Source organism: Homo sapiens, chromosome 3, assembly GCF_000001405.40.
Source record: "Homo sapiens chromosome 3, GRCh38.p14 Primary Assembly".
NCBI lineage: Eukaryota > Metazoa > Chordata > Mammalia > Primates > Hominidae > Homo > Homo sapiens.
The window spans coordinates 94,108,243-94,125,730 of NC_000003.12; the positions used below are offsets into that span (position 1 = coordinate 94,108,243).

The 17,488-nt window shown below is 37.0% G+C and overlaps 1 protein-coding gene across 2 annotated transcripts in view; it reads left to right on the top strand.

Annotated features, from left to right (window-relative positions):
• The window catches only part of NSUN3 (NOP2/Sun RNA methyltransferase 3), a 68,772-nt gene that overhangs the window by 45,182 nt on the left and 6,102 nt on the right, over positions 1–17,488 (top strand). The window contains exon 6 of one of the 2 annotated variants that reach the window (XM_047448684.1): positions 3,703–3,855. The exons of the other annotated variant lie outside the window; for it this stretch is intronic. Coding sequence (XP_047304640.1) covers positions 3,703–3,775 — 73 coding nt within the window. The 3' untranslated portion in view covers positions 3,776–3,855. Of the gene's footprint in view, positions 1–3,702; positions 3,856–17,488 lie in introns of those variants that run through there. 2 annotated transcript variants of the gene reach the window in all.

Here is a 17,488-nt window from a genome sequence, read left to right on the forward strand (position 1 = left end):
CAGAACTCTATTCAGAATTTTTGTTAGTTTCAATTAAATATATTTTCTTTGTTTTACACTGAAAATTCTCTTCCTGACCTGCCTCTTAATAAAGGTAGCATTTATTTGTTTTTTGTTTGTTTGTTTTATTTTATTTTGAGACGGAGTCTTGCTCTGTTGCCAGGCTGGAGTGCAGTGGCACGATCTTGGCTCACTGCAACCTCCGCCTTTCAGGTTCAAGTGATTCTCCTGCCTCAGCCTCCCGAGTAGCTGGGACTACAGGCGCACGCCACCATGCCCAGCTGTTTTTGTACTTTTAGTAGAGATGGGGGTTTCACCATTTGGGCCAGGATGGTCTTGATCTCTTGACCTTGTGATCCACCCACCTCAGCTTCCCAAAGTGCTGGGATTACAGGTGTGAGCCACCGCGCCTGGCCTTTTTATTTTATTTTTTTGAGACACAGTCTTGCTCTGTTGCCCAGGCTGGAGTGCAATGGCACAATCTCAGCTTGCTGCTCACTAAGGCGGAGGCCTCCCGGGTTCCATCAATTCTCCTGCCTCAGCCTCCCAAGTAGCTGAGATTATAGGCACCCACCACAACACCTGGCTAATTTTTTGTATTTAGTAGAGACGGGGTTTCACCATGTTGGTCAGGCTGGTCTCGAACTCCTGACCTCAGGTGATTCACCCAACTCGGCCTCCCAAAGTGCTGGGATTACTGGCGTGAGCCACTGCACCCAGCCCATTCATTTATTTAATAAATATGTTATAAAAATATAGTTTCCGGTTGTGCTGTATGTAAAAAATACAAAATGAATGCAACACAAACCCTGTTTTCAAGCAGCTAAAAATTTATTCCTTGGGAAAAACAGAATAGGGAGAAATTCCATGGAGAATCAATGAAAGTTTCAAAGACTGAGCTCTGAAGTGGGTCTAGGTGAAGAGACCATTTTTATTCACTTTTTTTCTAAGTGACTACAAGCTCATTCACCTAGTTAAAAGGAAATTTTATGATTTTTGTGGCAATTTGTGTAAGCATTAGAACTTTCTGAGCATCTAGAAAGAAGAGGCAAATAATTTTAATTCCTTGATTTGGTAGTTAATTACACAAGAGTGTCTATCTTGCTTTGAAGGGGCAGAAGTATTGCTAGCTATGTATCGGAGTTTGGTCAGAGTAAAATCTCCACAAATGATATAAGAGATTTATTATTGGAATTAGATATTATTTAATTAAGGGAGCTGTTTAAGTAGTCTGTTTTATTGCGTCACTGCTTCTGGTGGTAGGCTTTAAGTGAGCAGGGCTGGCAGTTAGCACGTGAGGTTAGCGGGGAGTAAAAGACACACTAGAATCCACGAAGACAAAAGATGAAACACGTCTCTTCTCTGCACATCCGGTTTGATGATGTGAGCGATCTGCAGAAAAGTTGGTGGATTCCACCATGGACCTGCACAGGAACCTGGTCCAGAATTTGGAAGAGCTGAAGGAAGGTCCTGTGATTCCTGGAGGAGCTGTGGGCACAGTTGCTGCCCTTACCTACATGTTGAGCCACTGGATGTGTAACAATATATGTGTACACTAAGCTCAAGGAGTTTTTGACGATTACATAGCAAAGTTACCAAGATATATGACATTTTATTACCCCAGAAAGATTCTGAGTACGCCTTCAGAATTCATTGTTCCCTTCATCAAAAGCAGTTATTTTTCTGATTTCTTTTTACCATAGATTAGTTTTGCCTGTTCTCAAACTTAAAAAGGTAATGAAATAGCATGTACTCTTTTATCTGGAATTTTTCTCTCAGCATAGTATTTTTGAAGTTTATTCATAGTGTGTGTCTCAAAAGTTTGCTCCTTTTTATTGGGTCAGGTGTAAAAGTGGTATTTTTGCTTTTGGCTTAACTCCCATTGTCTGGACAAGAACATTTACTTAGAAGTGCATGAATAAGGCTTGAGGCCACTGTATTATTCCTGGAAGAGCTGCCTCCTTAGAGATAACTTTCAGTGATAGAAAGTTATCAGTGATAACTTTCAGTGATAGGAAGTTATCAGTGATAACTTTCAGTGATAGGAAGTTATCAGTGATAACTTTCATTGATAGGAAGTTATCAGTGATAACTTTCAGTGATAGGAAGTTATCAGTGATAACTTTCAGTGATAGGAAGTTATCAGTGATAACTTTGGGTTACAAAATCTTTTCAACCCTGTGAGGCCCAAATTGCTGAATTCTCAGTAGGCTTGGATTTCAACACACAGAGAGCATTCCTGAGCAGAGCTGTGTTCTTCCATCTCAGCATCCAAATCCCTCAGATCTTTCCTGAGCTTTCTCTCATTAACATACACTAACATGTTACAATTTTCTTCTAGTTATCCTAGAGTTATGTAAATGTTGTTAGTATATAGTCTCTCTTCCACGATATCATAAACAATGATTTTATTAAATGTTTTGGCATGGCACAGTAAGAATCACTGACTATATTAGAGTTCTCCAGAGAAAAAGAGTGGAGATATACATGTATACACACACACACACACACACACACACACACACGCATATATATATACACACACATATATATGTATGCACATATATACATATATGTGTGTGTGTGTGTGTGTGTGTGTGTATATCTGCTTTGACTCCTTCCTACTAGTTGCAATGCAGATTAAACAGCAAGAACTGGGATAACCACCCTGGATTGTGAGGTTGAAGATTGGGCCTGGATCCCTGATGATTCTGGAGTCTGGCCATCTACTAATTACCTGGACAACCTTGGGAAGCCATCATAGTACAAACATAGATGATTACATAAACCTAGATGATACAGCCTACTACTACACACCTAGGCTATATGGTATAGCCTGTTGCTCCTAGGCTATAAACCTGTACAACAAGTTACTGTACTGAATACTGTAGGCAGTTGTAACACAGTGGTATTTGTGTATCTAAACATACCAAAATGGAAAAGGTACAGTAAAAATATGCTATAAAAGATAAAAAAATTGTACACCTGTATAAGGAGCTTGCCATGAAGGGAGCTTGCAGGACTGGAAGTTGCTCTGGGTGAGTCAGTGAGTGAGTGGTGAGTGAATGTGAAGGCCTAGGATATTCCTGTACACTACTGTAGCGTTTATAAACTCTGTACACTTAGGCTACACTAAATTTATAAAATAATATTTTTCTTTCTTCTGTAATAAATTAACCTTAGCTTACTGTAACTTTTTTACTTTATAAAGTTTTAAAGTTTTTAATAACTTTTTGACATTTCTAATACTAAGCTTAAAACAAACATTGTACAGCTGTACAAAAATATTTTCTTTCTTTATATCCTTATTCTATAAGTTTTTTTCTATTTTTAAATTTAATTTTTTGTTGTTGTTGTTGTTAAACTTTTTTGTTAAAAACTAAGATGCAAACACATACTTTAGCCTAGGCCTGCACAGGGTCAAGATCATCAATATCACTGTCTTCCACCTCCATGTCTTATCCCACTGGAAGGTCTTCAGGGGAAGTGGCATGTGTGGAACTGTCATCTATGATAACAGTACCTTCTTCTGGTAACCTCCTGTAGGATCTGTCTGAAGCTGTTTTACAGTTACCTTTTTTTTTTTTAAGAAGGAGGACCTGCTTAAATAATGATAAAAAGTATAGTAAATACTAGATGATAGGAATTTTTCAGCTGCATTATAATCTCATGGGACCACTGTCTGCCTGTCTTTCTATCGAGAGAGAGAGAGAGATTTAAGGAACTGGCTTATACAGCTATGAAGGCTAAGTCCCAAATTTGCTGGATGTGCTAGAGCCTGGAGACCCAGGGAAGAGTCAACATCGCAGGTCAAGTGCAAAGGCCATCTGCTGGAGAATTCCATCTTGTTCCAGGGAGGTCAGTCTTTTGTTCTATTCAGTTCTTCAACTGACTGAAGCCCACCCACATTATGGAGGGCCATCTGCTTTACTCAGTCTAACAATTCAGATGTTACTGTCATCTAAAAACACCCTCACAGACACACCCAGAATAATACTTGACCAAATATCTGAATATCATGGTTCAGCCAAGTTGAACATAAATTATCTAGCCATCATACTGGCTTTCTAACCTGTAGTGTTTGTGACCTTGCCCTCTGTTACTTGTTTATTAAGGCAGTTCTTCACTTAGATTCTGCTACAACAACTCCACGTGGTACCAAATTCAGTATTAGTTAAGACAGTTTTTCTTCTAATATAACGGAGAGAGAAAGAGACTCAAAATAATAGGGACTTAAATAAGAATCTGAGTAGGCTTCCCAGAGTTGTCTAGGTAATCAGTAGATGGCCAGACTCCAGAATCATCAGGGATCCAGGCCTAATCTTCAACCTCACAATCCAGGGTGGCTATCCCAGTTCTTGCTGTTTAATCTGCATTGCAACTAGTAGGAAGGAGTCAAAGCATAATTCAACATTACTTCCACTCACATCTCATGGATCAGACGTAGTCATATGGTTATGGTTATTACAAGGCAGTTTAGGAAATTAGCCTTGGCTGTGCCCAATTAAAAATCCCATTACTATGGAAGGAAATGAGAACAGATACTGAAGAGTAACTAGAGGTGTCTGCTACAAGTTGGAAATTCCTTGATCAGGTAATGCTGGAAGATGTGAAGAGAATAACAAAACTCTTTTTTTTTTGAGACGGAGTCTTGCTCTGTGGCCCGGGCTGGAGTGCAGTGGCACAATCTCGGCTCACTGCAAGTTCTGCCTCCCGGGTTCATGCCATTCTCCTGCCTCAGCCTCCCAAGTAGCTGGGACTACAGGGACCCGCCACCATGCCCGGCTAATTTTTTGTATTTTTAGTAGAGACAGGGTTTCACTGTGTTAGCCAGGATGGTCTCAATCTCCTGACCTCATGATCCGCCCACCTCAGCCTCCCAAAGTGCTGGGATTACAGGTGTGAGCCACCGCACCCGGCCCAAGAATAACCAAACTCTTAAGCAAGAAAGCCAGTTTGAAAGATTTTACAATAATCAAGAAGTAGTTGACATAGCCCTTACGTAATGAATGGCAGGGGATAACTGCCATTAAAAGTATGAGCTATAGAACTATATTGCCTGGATTTTAATCCTGGTTTGGACATTTCCAGAGAAATTTTGTACAAATAACTGTCTTGCCTTAGTTTTCTCATCTGCAAAGTAAGAATAATAATTCATGCCTCAGAACTTAATTGAAAGATTGAATGAGGTAACATATAACACACTTAACGTCAGGTAAAAAAGGAAATGAAGGATAAAGTTCTAGGGCAGACTGATATTTAAGGGATATGAAAAAGAGGAAAGGCAGATGGGGAGGCGGAGGCTAAAGGGGGACTTCAGAGAAATAGAAGATGAACAAAGAAAAAATAGCTTCCAGGAAGCCACATCAGAAGAAAGTTTCATGAAGTTGAGGATTAATGGCAGAATCAGGTAAATGAAGGCTGAAAATAGGCTTTTTAATACAGGCTGTTTGTCTACTTATTTTCTTGCTGAGTCAAGCTTCTGAGGAAAACAGTATTTTTATCTACCTTTTAGAGTTATACAAACAAAGTATTGTTAAATGAATTACCAAGTTACTTGGAATAACTACCAAGTTATTCCAAATTATTTGGAATTTTAATGAAGGACTAACTACTTTTGAGTTTCTACATTGAGTCTAATATGTTAAAATTGTACACAACTATCATTTAAATGCCAATCTGTGATGAAAAGTTTCAAATTATGTCTCAGTGTGAAGTATGTGCTTTCATTCACCTCATCATAATGCTGTACAGCAGCACTTTAATAGGTGGAGGTTGTATGCTCTATAAAAGGACTGCTAGGTAAGATTCTCAGGTCATTGCTTAAGACCTATTAATTCTACTTTCTTTATGTTAAAAGTGCCTGGAGGTATATAGTTATTTTTTACCTTCAATGGGTATTTGAGACAATTGGGATGTTAGAATGAATGCATGTGGTGTCCTGTGTCTCATTGCCTCAAATTCCAAACTTATTTTAGCAGTCATAGTATTTGCTTCAGGGCACATAGCTTGAGGTAAAAGCTTGAGGTCCTCTTTCCGGTACTAGATTTGAGTGGCAGTCTTCGTGCTGCTTTAATTAGCTGTGTCACTTCAGGCAAATCAGAGTCTTTTTGTGACCTTCGATTTGATAAATCTTGTCAGACTATTTACCTTGTACATCTCACCTCATAAGGTTTTATTAAGACTCTGTCTGTGAAGTGCTCTTTAACTAGAGCACCAAGTAAACATAAGGTAGTATTAATTAAGCTGATCACATGTCCTACACTCAGTTAACATAGGAGTGAGCATCTTGTTTGATTTCTGGACCAAATCCACATTCTGTTCTCTTTTATTCAGGAAGATTCTTTCTATTTTGTTTACTTATTTTTTTAAATAATTTATTGTATTTTAGATTCGGGGGTACATGTGCAGGTTTGTTACACGGATGTGTTGCGTGATGCCGAGGTTTGGGATACGATTGATCCCATCATCCGGGTAGTAAGCATAGCACCAAATAGTTTTTCCACCCTTACCCCCCTTCTGCCCTCTCCCTTCTAGTAGTTCCCAGTGTCTATTACTGCCATCTTTATGTCCGTGAGTACACAATGTTTAGCTCCCATTTATAATTGAGAACATGTGATACTTGGTTTTCTGTCCCTACATTAATTCACTTAGGATAATGGTTTCCAGCTGCATCCATGTTGCTGCAAAGGACATGGTTTCTTTCTTTTTTTTTTCTTGCTGCTCTATTCTAGTTTAAAGAAAGTGTAAGAATTTCCTCATGGAGGAATATGTACATGTGTCCAGTGTTCTCTGGAAGCAACTTACCTTTTTGGTTTTGGACTTAAGCTGTCATTTGGGCAGTGAGATAAAAAGACTGTAGTTTTCATACATTTTTCACATTATTAATTATATAACTGTTTTTCTTTTCTACATAAGTTGCAGATAGCTTTATAAGGTAGTCTCATATAGGCTTTCTGAAATATTAATTGAGTATTAAATGGTTACAATGGACCAACTGCAGGATCGATGTTCCTATGCTTATTTTAAATTTTTTAAATTTCTACAGTCTTACTTGGTTTTAAAAAATGTATAATGCTAGAGTTTCTGAGAAGGAAAAACTTGCTAATATTGTGGCATCCTTTACTTATATTTGCTTCCAACGGAAGGGTACTATTGCCTTGATACTCTAATGGCGAAGGAAGGGACATGAATAAAGATGAGGAATAAATATATTAATCATAGTATATTGGGGCTGTAATCTTAATTTTTCAAGAGCACAGACATGTATGATTCTTTTACTTCTGTACCAGAAATTGTAGGCGAGACAGCGATTGTGACTTCAAACTTGTTTTAGCGATGACATAAAAAGAATTTGTTTATCTTCTGGTGATAAGTCATGAGGAATTAATGAAAGAGGGAAAATCACTCTCGTTTCGGTCAAAAGATGGCACTGTTGCTGTGCTGATTATTCTTTTCTGCTCAGCCCTTTTTAAATGCAGAAAACAGTTGAATACAGTGATCTAATTAACACTGACCCTCCCATCAGAATGCCAAATTTTCTAATCAAGCACCAAAAGAATAGATCCGAGAAAGAGAATTTATATTTTTAAAAAAGTGTTAGGATGTTTTAATAGCTATTTATAAAAATAACATTCTGTGTTTGAAACGCAGATATTTGCCAAGGGAAAAATAGGACATCCTGCATCGTGGTTTAAATTTTGGTTATGTTTTGAAACACCTTCCTTTGGAACTTTTATAACTGTCAGTGTTTTAAGACATTTTAGGTTTTGTTTTGTTTTATTTTAGTTTTTCAAGATCATTGAACTTATGCTATAATTAAGATAATACATGTTTTTCTTTAAGGTATTTAAGTCAAGTAATAATTTTTCTTTTATTTTCCTTTCTTACTATCCTTTAGTTGGAAGCCTGTGTAGATTAGTCTGGGAATGTTAAGGTGGTCTGTCTTGTGCTAGAGAAGCAACACATTCTCACCTTGTTTTAAGCCAGTTTCTTAAAAGGCTTTTGAGGCATGATTCTATTTCCCTCTAAGCAGACCTTTCAAGGATGGAGAACTTCATCCTTGAAGGCAAAGCATTAAACTTTGGGAAAGACAAAATGAATGCCTTTAAAAAATACGTTTATTATTGATTTTACAGAATTTCTTTAAAATACAGACACGCAGATCAAAACATTTTTTGAGGGAGTGAGAGAAGGAATCCTTGGTGTATTGAAACCACAAAACAATCCAGTTTTCCTTAGAAAACTCTTGTGGAATCCTGCATATAGACTGCTTATCAGTAGATTTGCCTATCTGATGCTTTTAAAAGTTAACATTTAAATGATTTACTTGCAACAATAATTAAATTAAGCTTTTATTGGATAACTAACTATGTGGTTAACTAGTTTTATCATACTAACTAGTTTTATCATACATGCAGATATTTACAGAAGATATTGTATATAGTTTTACAGTATAATTCATTTGGATCTAAAATACAAGGAGAAAATCTTATTTAATGGCAGATGTGTTTCAGAATTCAGAATTTGTTTGGATTTGTTAAAGAGTTAATATAGTACATACTTAATACATGGTCTAACCTCCTTTCTACAGGAGGGTCTGGAACAATACTCCATAATCAAACATATAAACATTTTTTCAGCAAGACATATGAATAGTTATACCACATGAGATAAGTCTTGGCCATAAATAGCCTTACATGAGTTTAGGTCAGATTTTTAAGCCAAGTGAATCTGCCACAACTTTTTTTTTTTTTTTTTTTTTTTTTTTTTGGGAGACAGAATCTCGCTCTATCATCTATGCTGGAGTGCAGTGGTATGATCTCGGCTCACTGCAACCTCCACCTCCTGGGTTCAAGTGATTCTCCTGTCTTAGCCTCCCCAGTGGCTGGGGTTATAGGCGCACGCCACCACACTCGGCTAATTTCTCATATTTTTGGTAGAGACGAGTTTTCACCATGTTGGCCAGGCTGGTCTTGAACTCCTGACCACAAGTGATCTGTCCCCTTTGGCCTCCCAAAGTGCTGGGATTACAGACGTGAGTCACCACGCCCGGCCTCACAACTTAATTTTTAAAAACCTGTAGGTTACAGAGCTTTTTGGATTTCACGACAGAGTATGAGATAGACCTGAAGTACCACTTGGTTGTATTCTGTGAACTGTCAAAAATCTATTGAGGATTTTCTGTTTGCAAATGAGGGAAATTTAACATTATATTCTATTTAATGGTTTCTTTTTAAAAACTGTGTATTGTTTTGTTTTTAGCAGCTTCATTAACTAGGTGGTTCAAACACAAAATGCATTTCAGCCTGTTCCATGATACACTGAAAGACAAGCAAAGATTTGGGGAAAGTTGTATACCTGATATCTGCCATATAGTAACAGGTTATCTGGTATACATTCCATGGCAAGAAGGGCATCTTTCTTTCTCTTTTAGGAGTACTTGGGGTAAAATCATTTTCTACTATATATTTTTTCTTTTTTTCTTACCTTCATTATGCAGTAGGCCATTGTATTATATGCTATAAAATTAATCAAGATCAACTTTGTTTCCTACAGCAGTGTTGTGAGAGAGAATCTTACCTCATATTTCAAGTAGGGTTTAAACCTGATCAGCACTTTTATAGGAGGCTTCTGAAGGGAATATGTGTGTTTCGGAGAAATGATAGAGGGATTATATTATGTCGCAATTCTGCTTCCTTTAGAAGTACTTCCTCCAATGAAGAGAAGTTGTTTAATGGGTACAAAAATACAGTTAGATAGAAGGTATAAATTCTAGGATTTGATGGTACAGGAAGGAAATTGTAGTTAACAATAATTTATTGTATATTTCAAAGTAGCTAGAAGAGAAGAATTGTAATGCTCCCAAGATAAAGAAAAGATAATTGTTTGTGGTGATGGATTTCCTAATTACCCGATTTGATCATTCTACATTGTAAACATGTATCAAAATAAAACATATACCTTCAGATTATCTACAATTATGATATATCAATTTTTTAAAAAGTACTTCCCTAGCTTTGCATTATAATTGGGCATTTTATATTAAAGAATATGTAAAACCCAAGATAATGTTTACTAGTTTCCATTTTAGAGTATTAGGTTAGCATTGTACTTAATCTGATCAAATAATACTTTTGCTTCTACTGTTGTTAGTCATGACATTTTTCTGACTTCTACTTTTAAGTATGATTAGAAAGTTTACTGTTATCATTAGAATTCAATGATGAATAATACCAGTCTTAATACAGCTTGGTTAGTGATAATTTCATGCATTATAGTTAGTGGTTAGCACAAATACGACATTACTCAGGATCTTGTTAAACCATGACACAGGATCATTCAGGAGCCAAGGGGCCATAGCTCATTTGGACAGGTTAATAGAGGATACTATACTATTATGCAGAAATGGATGTTGCTTGGCTGGCTGTTTAGTTTTCCTTCCTCTTATTTAAAAAAAAAAATAATAAATAACTAAATGGCACAGACATTTACACAAGCATAGAGAACCCAACCTGTCTTTTTTTTTCTTCTTCGTTCTCTAATCCTGACTTGTCTTTTTATGTGGTCAGTACCACAGCTTTGCCAAAGTTTATTAGTATTATTCAAGTCTTTCTAATCTCTAAATGTTTTGCCACCTCCAGAATTTAAAATTTCTTAGTGGGCTTGTTAAGACCTATTAAGCAATATCTTTCTTTTGTTTTGAGTGAATCATTTTGCTCCCCCAAACAACCCTTCTCACATCCTGCCATCTAACTGTTGTAAAAATACATATACAGTCCTCTGTTTGTGATTTGGATGAAACCTGTGATAATAATTTCTTGTTTCTTGTACACTACTTCAAAATGTGTATAAATTGTTATGGAAGCAGATGATTTATCCCAGACATTATTGTAATGGACAGGGCCCTGTATATTTAGGTACTTAGATTTTAGTAGTGTGCTAATTTTTGCTTAGTATATTGTAAAATACATCTTTTAATTTTGATTGGAAAACAAAGACCAGAAATACTGGTTTTTAAATCATTGAACTTGTCTGATTATAGAGTTGTTGTATGTTCTTGCCTTAACAGAAACTATAGTGTGTAATGATAAATTGTAATTATAGAGATAGTTTTATACTTTCTGCAAAAGCAGTGGGAGGCCACAACATGGTCTGGTTCAGTTCGTAAGAAAAATGGCATTTATGGCTCTGGGGGAGGGGGACAGGGAGATGGTTTCAGGATTAAACTGTTCCACCTCAGATCATCAGGCATTAGTTAGATTCCGGAGCTCAGGTGGTAATGCCTGCTCACCCACCACTCAACTCCTGCTGTGCAGCTGGGTTCCTAATAGGTCACAGACTGGTACTGGTCTGTAGGCCCAGGGATTGGGGTCCTCTGATCTATAGCATAAGATAATTCTCAGAGTAGAAAAATCTTAGCTATAAACCCTAGGAGTGAGTTTTTACAAATTGCCTGCCTTCCTTTATCTTTGAATACAAATTTCTGATAGTTTTAAAATACATAACTACTGAAAGCAAAAGGATTAAAATGATATTTAAACAACATGCAGCAGTAGCAAAACAGCAAGACCATTTGACAGGAATCCCTAACATTTGCCTTATGGTTTTGAGATTAACCCAATTTGTTTTAAAAAGGCTTTGTGTTACCACATACAATTTTCTCATTTAGAAATTAATGTGGGCAGTTAAGTTATACCTGCCTAATTTTAGAAAGATAAATTATGAATGTCGAAATGAAAGGTAAGCAGAAGAATCAGCCAACATTGGCAACATTATAGAAATTAATTTAAATTTGCATTAAGCCAGGAACATATTGTTTGTAAATTATGAGGCTTCTATGTACTTTTGTACAGCTTTAATGAAAAAGAATCATACTTACTTGATTAAGCATTGGCTTTGCTAATTGTGGAACTAAGACCAAAATAGTCATTTTCATGGGAGGTTGGAAGTATCTGAATTCAAATATTGCCTATATCCACAATAATCTAACATTTTTATTGTGTATTTCTCTATTTTTAATTGTTTAAAAATACATAACATAAAATTTGCTATCTTAACCATTTTTAAGTGTACAGTTCAATAGTGTTAAGTACATTCACATTGTTGTACTACCAATCTCCAGAACTCTTTTCATCTTTCAAAACTGAAAGTCGATATCCATTAAGCACTAACTCTTCATTCCCTTCACTTCTTAGCCCCTGGCAACCACCATTCTACTTTCTGTCTCTATGAATTTGACTATTCTAGATGCCTCATATAAGTGGAATCATGTGATATTTCTTTTTTGTGACTGGCTTATTTCACTTAGCATAATGTTCTCAGGGTTAATCCATGTTATAGCATCTGTCAGAGTTTTCTTCCTTCTTGATGCTGAATAATATTTCATCATATCTATGTATCTGTCTACACATTTTGCTTGGCAGTTCATCCACTGATGGACACTTGGGTTGCTTCTATCTTTTGGCCATTGTGAATAATGCTACTATGAACATGGGTACAAATATCTCTTTAAGACCCTGCTTTCAATTGTTTGGGGAATATGACCAGAAGTGGAATTGCTGGAGCACATAATAACTTGATTTTTAAGTTTCTGAGGAGCCGTCATATTGTTTTCCATAGTGGCTATACCATTTTAATAATCTAACATTTTTAAAGAAAGTCTTATACCTATTGCTATAGTTAGTAGAAAATGATCCAAAATGAATGTAGTTACAACTTTACTTAGCAAATTGGCCTTTACCTTAGTGTGTTGCTGTAAAAACAAAAAAAGAGAAAACAAAAAACGCCATCATTAGATGTGTATTAGTTGTTTCCTATTGCTGCTGTTAACAATTTGCCACAAATTTAGTGGCTTTAAATAGCACAGATTTGTTACCTTTGCGCTTCTGGAGGTCAGAAGTCCAAAATGAGCCCTGTGGGACTAATATCAAGATGCTGGCAGAGATGTGTTCCTCCTGGAGGTGCTAAGGGAAAATCTGTTTGCTTACCTTTTCCAGCCTTCAGAAGCAGCTCACATACCTGAGCTCTTTGCCCTAGGCCAGCAATCCTGTCAGTTCAACCCAGGCTTCCATCATCACATCTTCACCAACTCTCTGCCTCCCTCTTTCAATGATAAAGGACCTTTGTGATTACATCAGGCCCACTCGGATAATCCAGGATAATCTCCCCATTGCAGGATCCTTAATTTAGTCACATCTGCACATAGCCTTTTCCCATGTAAAATGGCTTGCTTACAGGTTCTGGGGATTAGGATGTGGACATCTTTGAGGGGTTTTCATTCTTCCTACCGCAGGATATTTATTATCCCTTTAGCAGTTCACATCTCCAGCATCTAGATAGGAGCCTTTTTTGTTTCCATGGGGAATATTTAGAGGGCAGTGAATAGTGAGGAGAGGAAACATAGAAAAAGTTTTTTTAGAGACTAACAACAAACACCGAAGTATGAGAAGACCCTCAGTGGTAGGAACCCCCAAAATATCTCTTTAATCAATAAATGAATACATGAGATGTATAGAAATCCTGGATACCATAAAATTTTAGTTATCTGGAACCTCAGGGAATACCTTTTCTAGAGAGGTTATCCCTTAACAGTCAAAATTTTTAAAAATACATATAACTGGCCAGGCGTGGTGGCTCATGCCTGTAGTCCCAGCACTTTGGGAGGCCAAGGCGGGCGGATCACCTGAGGTCAGGAGTTTGAGACCAGCCTGGCCAACATGGTGAAACCCCGTCTCTACTAAAAGTACAAAAATTAGCCAGGCGTGGTGGCAGGTGCCTGTAATCCCAGCTACTCAGGAGGCTGAGGCAGGAGAATTGCTTGAACTGGAGAGGTGGAGGTTGCAGTGAGCCAGGATTGCACCACTGCACTCCAGTCTTGGCAACAAGAGCAAGACTCATCCCCCCACCTAAAAAAAAAAAAAAAAAAAACAATTTAAGTGACCTCCATGGCAAAAGCTCTGATATTTATTCTTTTGTCAAATCTCCCCTTTAATTTGTATTACAGAAATAAATCAGATGGGTAAAAAATTAAACTACAAATGAGCTCCTAGTGAAAAGGATTGCTCCCCTGCAACTCTTCCTCTCTTCCTCCAGTCTTAGTCCTCAGAGGCAATTGCTTCTAATGATTTTGGTTCCTAATTCATTCTTCAGGTCACCCCCAAATCTCTAAATAATACGTTTATTCATTTTCTAAAATTGTCAAAAAATTAGACATTAACTACTGCCCTATCCCAAGGATTTATGTCACTTACACCACCCTTCCCTCATCACACTACCCTGCACCCTGCAATCTCACACTGTACTCAGTTTCTCTCTGTCGGCTCTGAAACTTAGTACCATACACTTAGACCTACATTTCTTATTCTATTAGTGGGGGAAAGTTCTCTTAAATACACATCACACCTTTTTTGTCTTTTTTTCTTCATTTATCTTTATTCTTTTAAAAAAATAATTAGAGGCAAATGTCTTTTGCCTTTTATTTTTATAAAATAAGAACACTTACACGCCCACCCTGCCTTCCATTTCTCTCTCCCTTCTACTTCCCAGTATCTTACAGCTGTACTTTCATGTTGTCAAGGTTGATCATATTCTTTCTGAGACCTTAAAATCTGTTCTGTAACAATAGTAAGTTTGGTCTTTGGAGTAATTCTGAACATTGAAGACCCATAAGTGGTGTATATTGTTTAATTCTATAAATATTGTCCACTGCATAATGGAATAATATGTTAGAATTAAAATTCCTTGTCTCTTGGTTCAATCTCATGAGCAGAATACCACTGAAACATTTTTTCTAGAATCAGATAGATGAGACAAGTTGATCTCTCCCTTTCCCTCCCAATTATGTATACCAAATCTTCAAGTTTTTCTCAGTTTTCAGTCATTTCATCTCTTTTACTTCTCTCCCTTCTCCCTTCCTTCTGGAGAGCTCCCTCTTTTTCCAGACTGCAGTAGTTGCCTTCCAGGCCTCCCACGCAGCTCTCACTCTGAGGCTTCACTCCTTTCACTGCTCTTCTATGTTGCATGCACTCTTTTCTGAATTACATTTTTCCTCTTTCTTGCTTTATTTCCTCATTTTACTAGAATTAAAATTTCGGAGTCATGAGATATCTGCAAGTTTCTGGATTCTTGCTACATATTTATTTTATGAGTTGGCTGCAAATAGAATTCACTTTAAATTGCTTTTTCCTAGGATTTGGAATGTATTTCTCCACTGATACCAGTCTGATTCCTGGGCTCGTAATAGGTGACCTGTTTTTCTCTTTGGAGGCATTAAACACCTCTTTGTTCTTGAAGTTCAAAAATTTAACAATGATGGATCTAAGTGTGGGTGTTTTTTATTCATTATAAGGGTGAAGTTTTGACAGTTTTCATCAAGACCCTCTCCACCCCCTCCTCTTAACTCTGTCACCTCGTCTCAGATTACCACCCCTGGCTCACCTTGCTCCAGCCACACTGACCTCCGCTTTCCTTGAACATGCCTCAAGGTCTTGTCACTGGCTATTCCTTTGGTATGGAATGCTCTTCTCTCAGATATCTGCTTGGCTCACTCCCTTACCTCCTCAGAACTTTGTTCAAATGTCACTTTCTGAAATGGCAAACTGTTCTAACTGTCCCATTTAAAATTATAATCCCTCTCATCCAAGCACTCCTAATCCTTTTATCCTGCTTTTATTTTCTTCATAGTTATCTATCACTAAATTGCATACTAAATAAAAAAATGTGCAAACCTGTACATATATGTATGTATGTATATGTGTATATGTATATATGTTTATCTTTGTATATGTGTATGTTTATGTATGTGTGTATATATTTATATTAGTTTGCTAGAGTTGCCATAACAAAATAACAAGACTGTGTGGCTTAAACAATAGAAGTTTATTTTCTATTTTATTATTTTATTTCTTTTTTTTTTTTTTTTTTTTTTGAGATGGAGTCTCACTCTTTCACCCAGGCTGGAGTGAAGTGGTGTGATCTTGGCTCACTGTAACCTCTGCCTCCTGGGTTCAAGTGATTCTCCTACCTCATCGTCCCAAGTAGCTGGGATTACAGGCATCCACCACCGCACCTGGCTGGTTTCCCCATGTGGTCCATGCTGGTCTCGAACTCCTGACCTCAGGTGATCCATCTGCCTCGGTCTCCCAAAGTGCTAGGATTACAGGCGTGAGCCACCGCACCTGCCTAGAAGTTTATTTAATCACAGTTTTGGATGCCAGAAGTTTGAGATGAAGGCATCAGCAAGATTTGTTTTGTCTGAGGTCCTTCTTCATGGCTGGTAGATAGCTGTCTTCTCCCTGCGTCTTCTTTATATGGTCCTCCCCTGTAATTCTGTGACCAAATGTCCTCTTCTTGAAGGATCCCAGTCATATTCCATTAGGGCCCACTTTAATGAACTACTTTTAACTTAATTACTTCTTTATGGACCCTGTCTGTAAATACAGTCACCTTCTAAGGCACTATGGGTTAGGACTTCAACAAAGGAATTTTGCAGGGACACAGTTTAATTCAAAACATATTTAATTTGTTATATTCTATGTCCCCCAGCTAGAATGTAAGCTTCATGAGGTGAAAGATTTTTTTGTTGTTGTTCTGTCTGTTGAGATATACTTACCACCTAGAACAATGCTCAGCATATAATAGAGGCTCAATAAATAATAATGAGTGTCTTATCTTTCTAGTACTCCTATTAATTGGATTTTGAACCTATGTAATTGATCCACCTTGTCTCATTTTCAGTCAGTCTGTTACTGTTGTACTTTTTGTGGAGAGATTTCTTCAACCTTAACTTCCAAATACTTCTACAGAATATTCTTTATTTTGGTAACCATATATTTAGTTTCTAAGAACTCTCTTCTTGATCCTTTTTCATGGCATTCTGTTATGGATATTGTATCTTTGCTGATCTGTCTGCATTTAATAGATCATATTTCTCTTTTGTTCCCTGAATTTTCTGTTTCTTCCTGTGTCATTATTGTTTATTTTGTTCTTTCTCTTACATATTGCTTAAGCATTTCTGATCTTTAATTATCTAGCAATCCTTGGTTATACATTTTTATTTAATAATGAGACAATAAAAGTACTAGAGGTGTATTTTAAGGACGAGACCTTTTATCTGGTGATACAACTTTCTGAAGAGCTGACTGTTACTCTGGAGGCTCTCTTCATGGTAGAATGCAGAGATCTTTGATTTGGGGTCTAAAACCCATAGTGGCTGCCTTAGAAGTCTTCACAAATAGTTTATTCAATTTTCTTAGATAAAAACCTTCCAACTTTTTACCTGGTTGCCCAAATTGCAATATTGGAAGTATGGAATCAATGACTTCTTATGTATGCTTTCATATGTATGCTTTGTTTTTATTTTTACTCCCATCGATTTAAAGACAAACTCATTATTCTGTTCTCTACCCCTATTTTCCTACTTTTTGAATAGCAATCAACCAGTCTAACTTACTCTATCTTTTCCATGTTGATTGGTCTGATTATCATT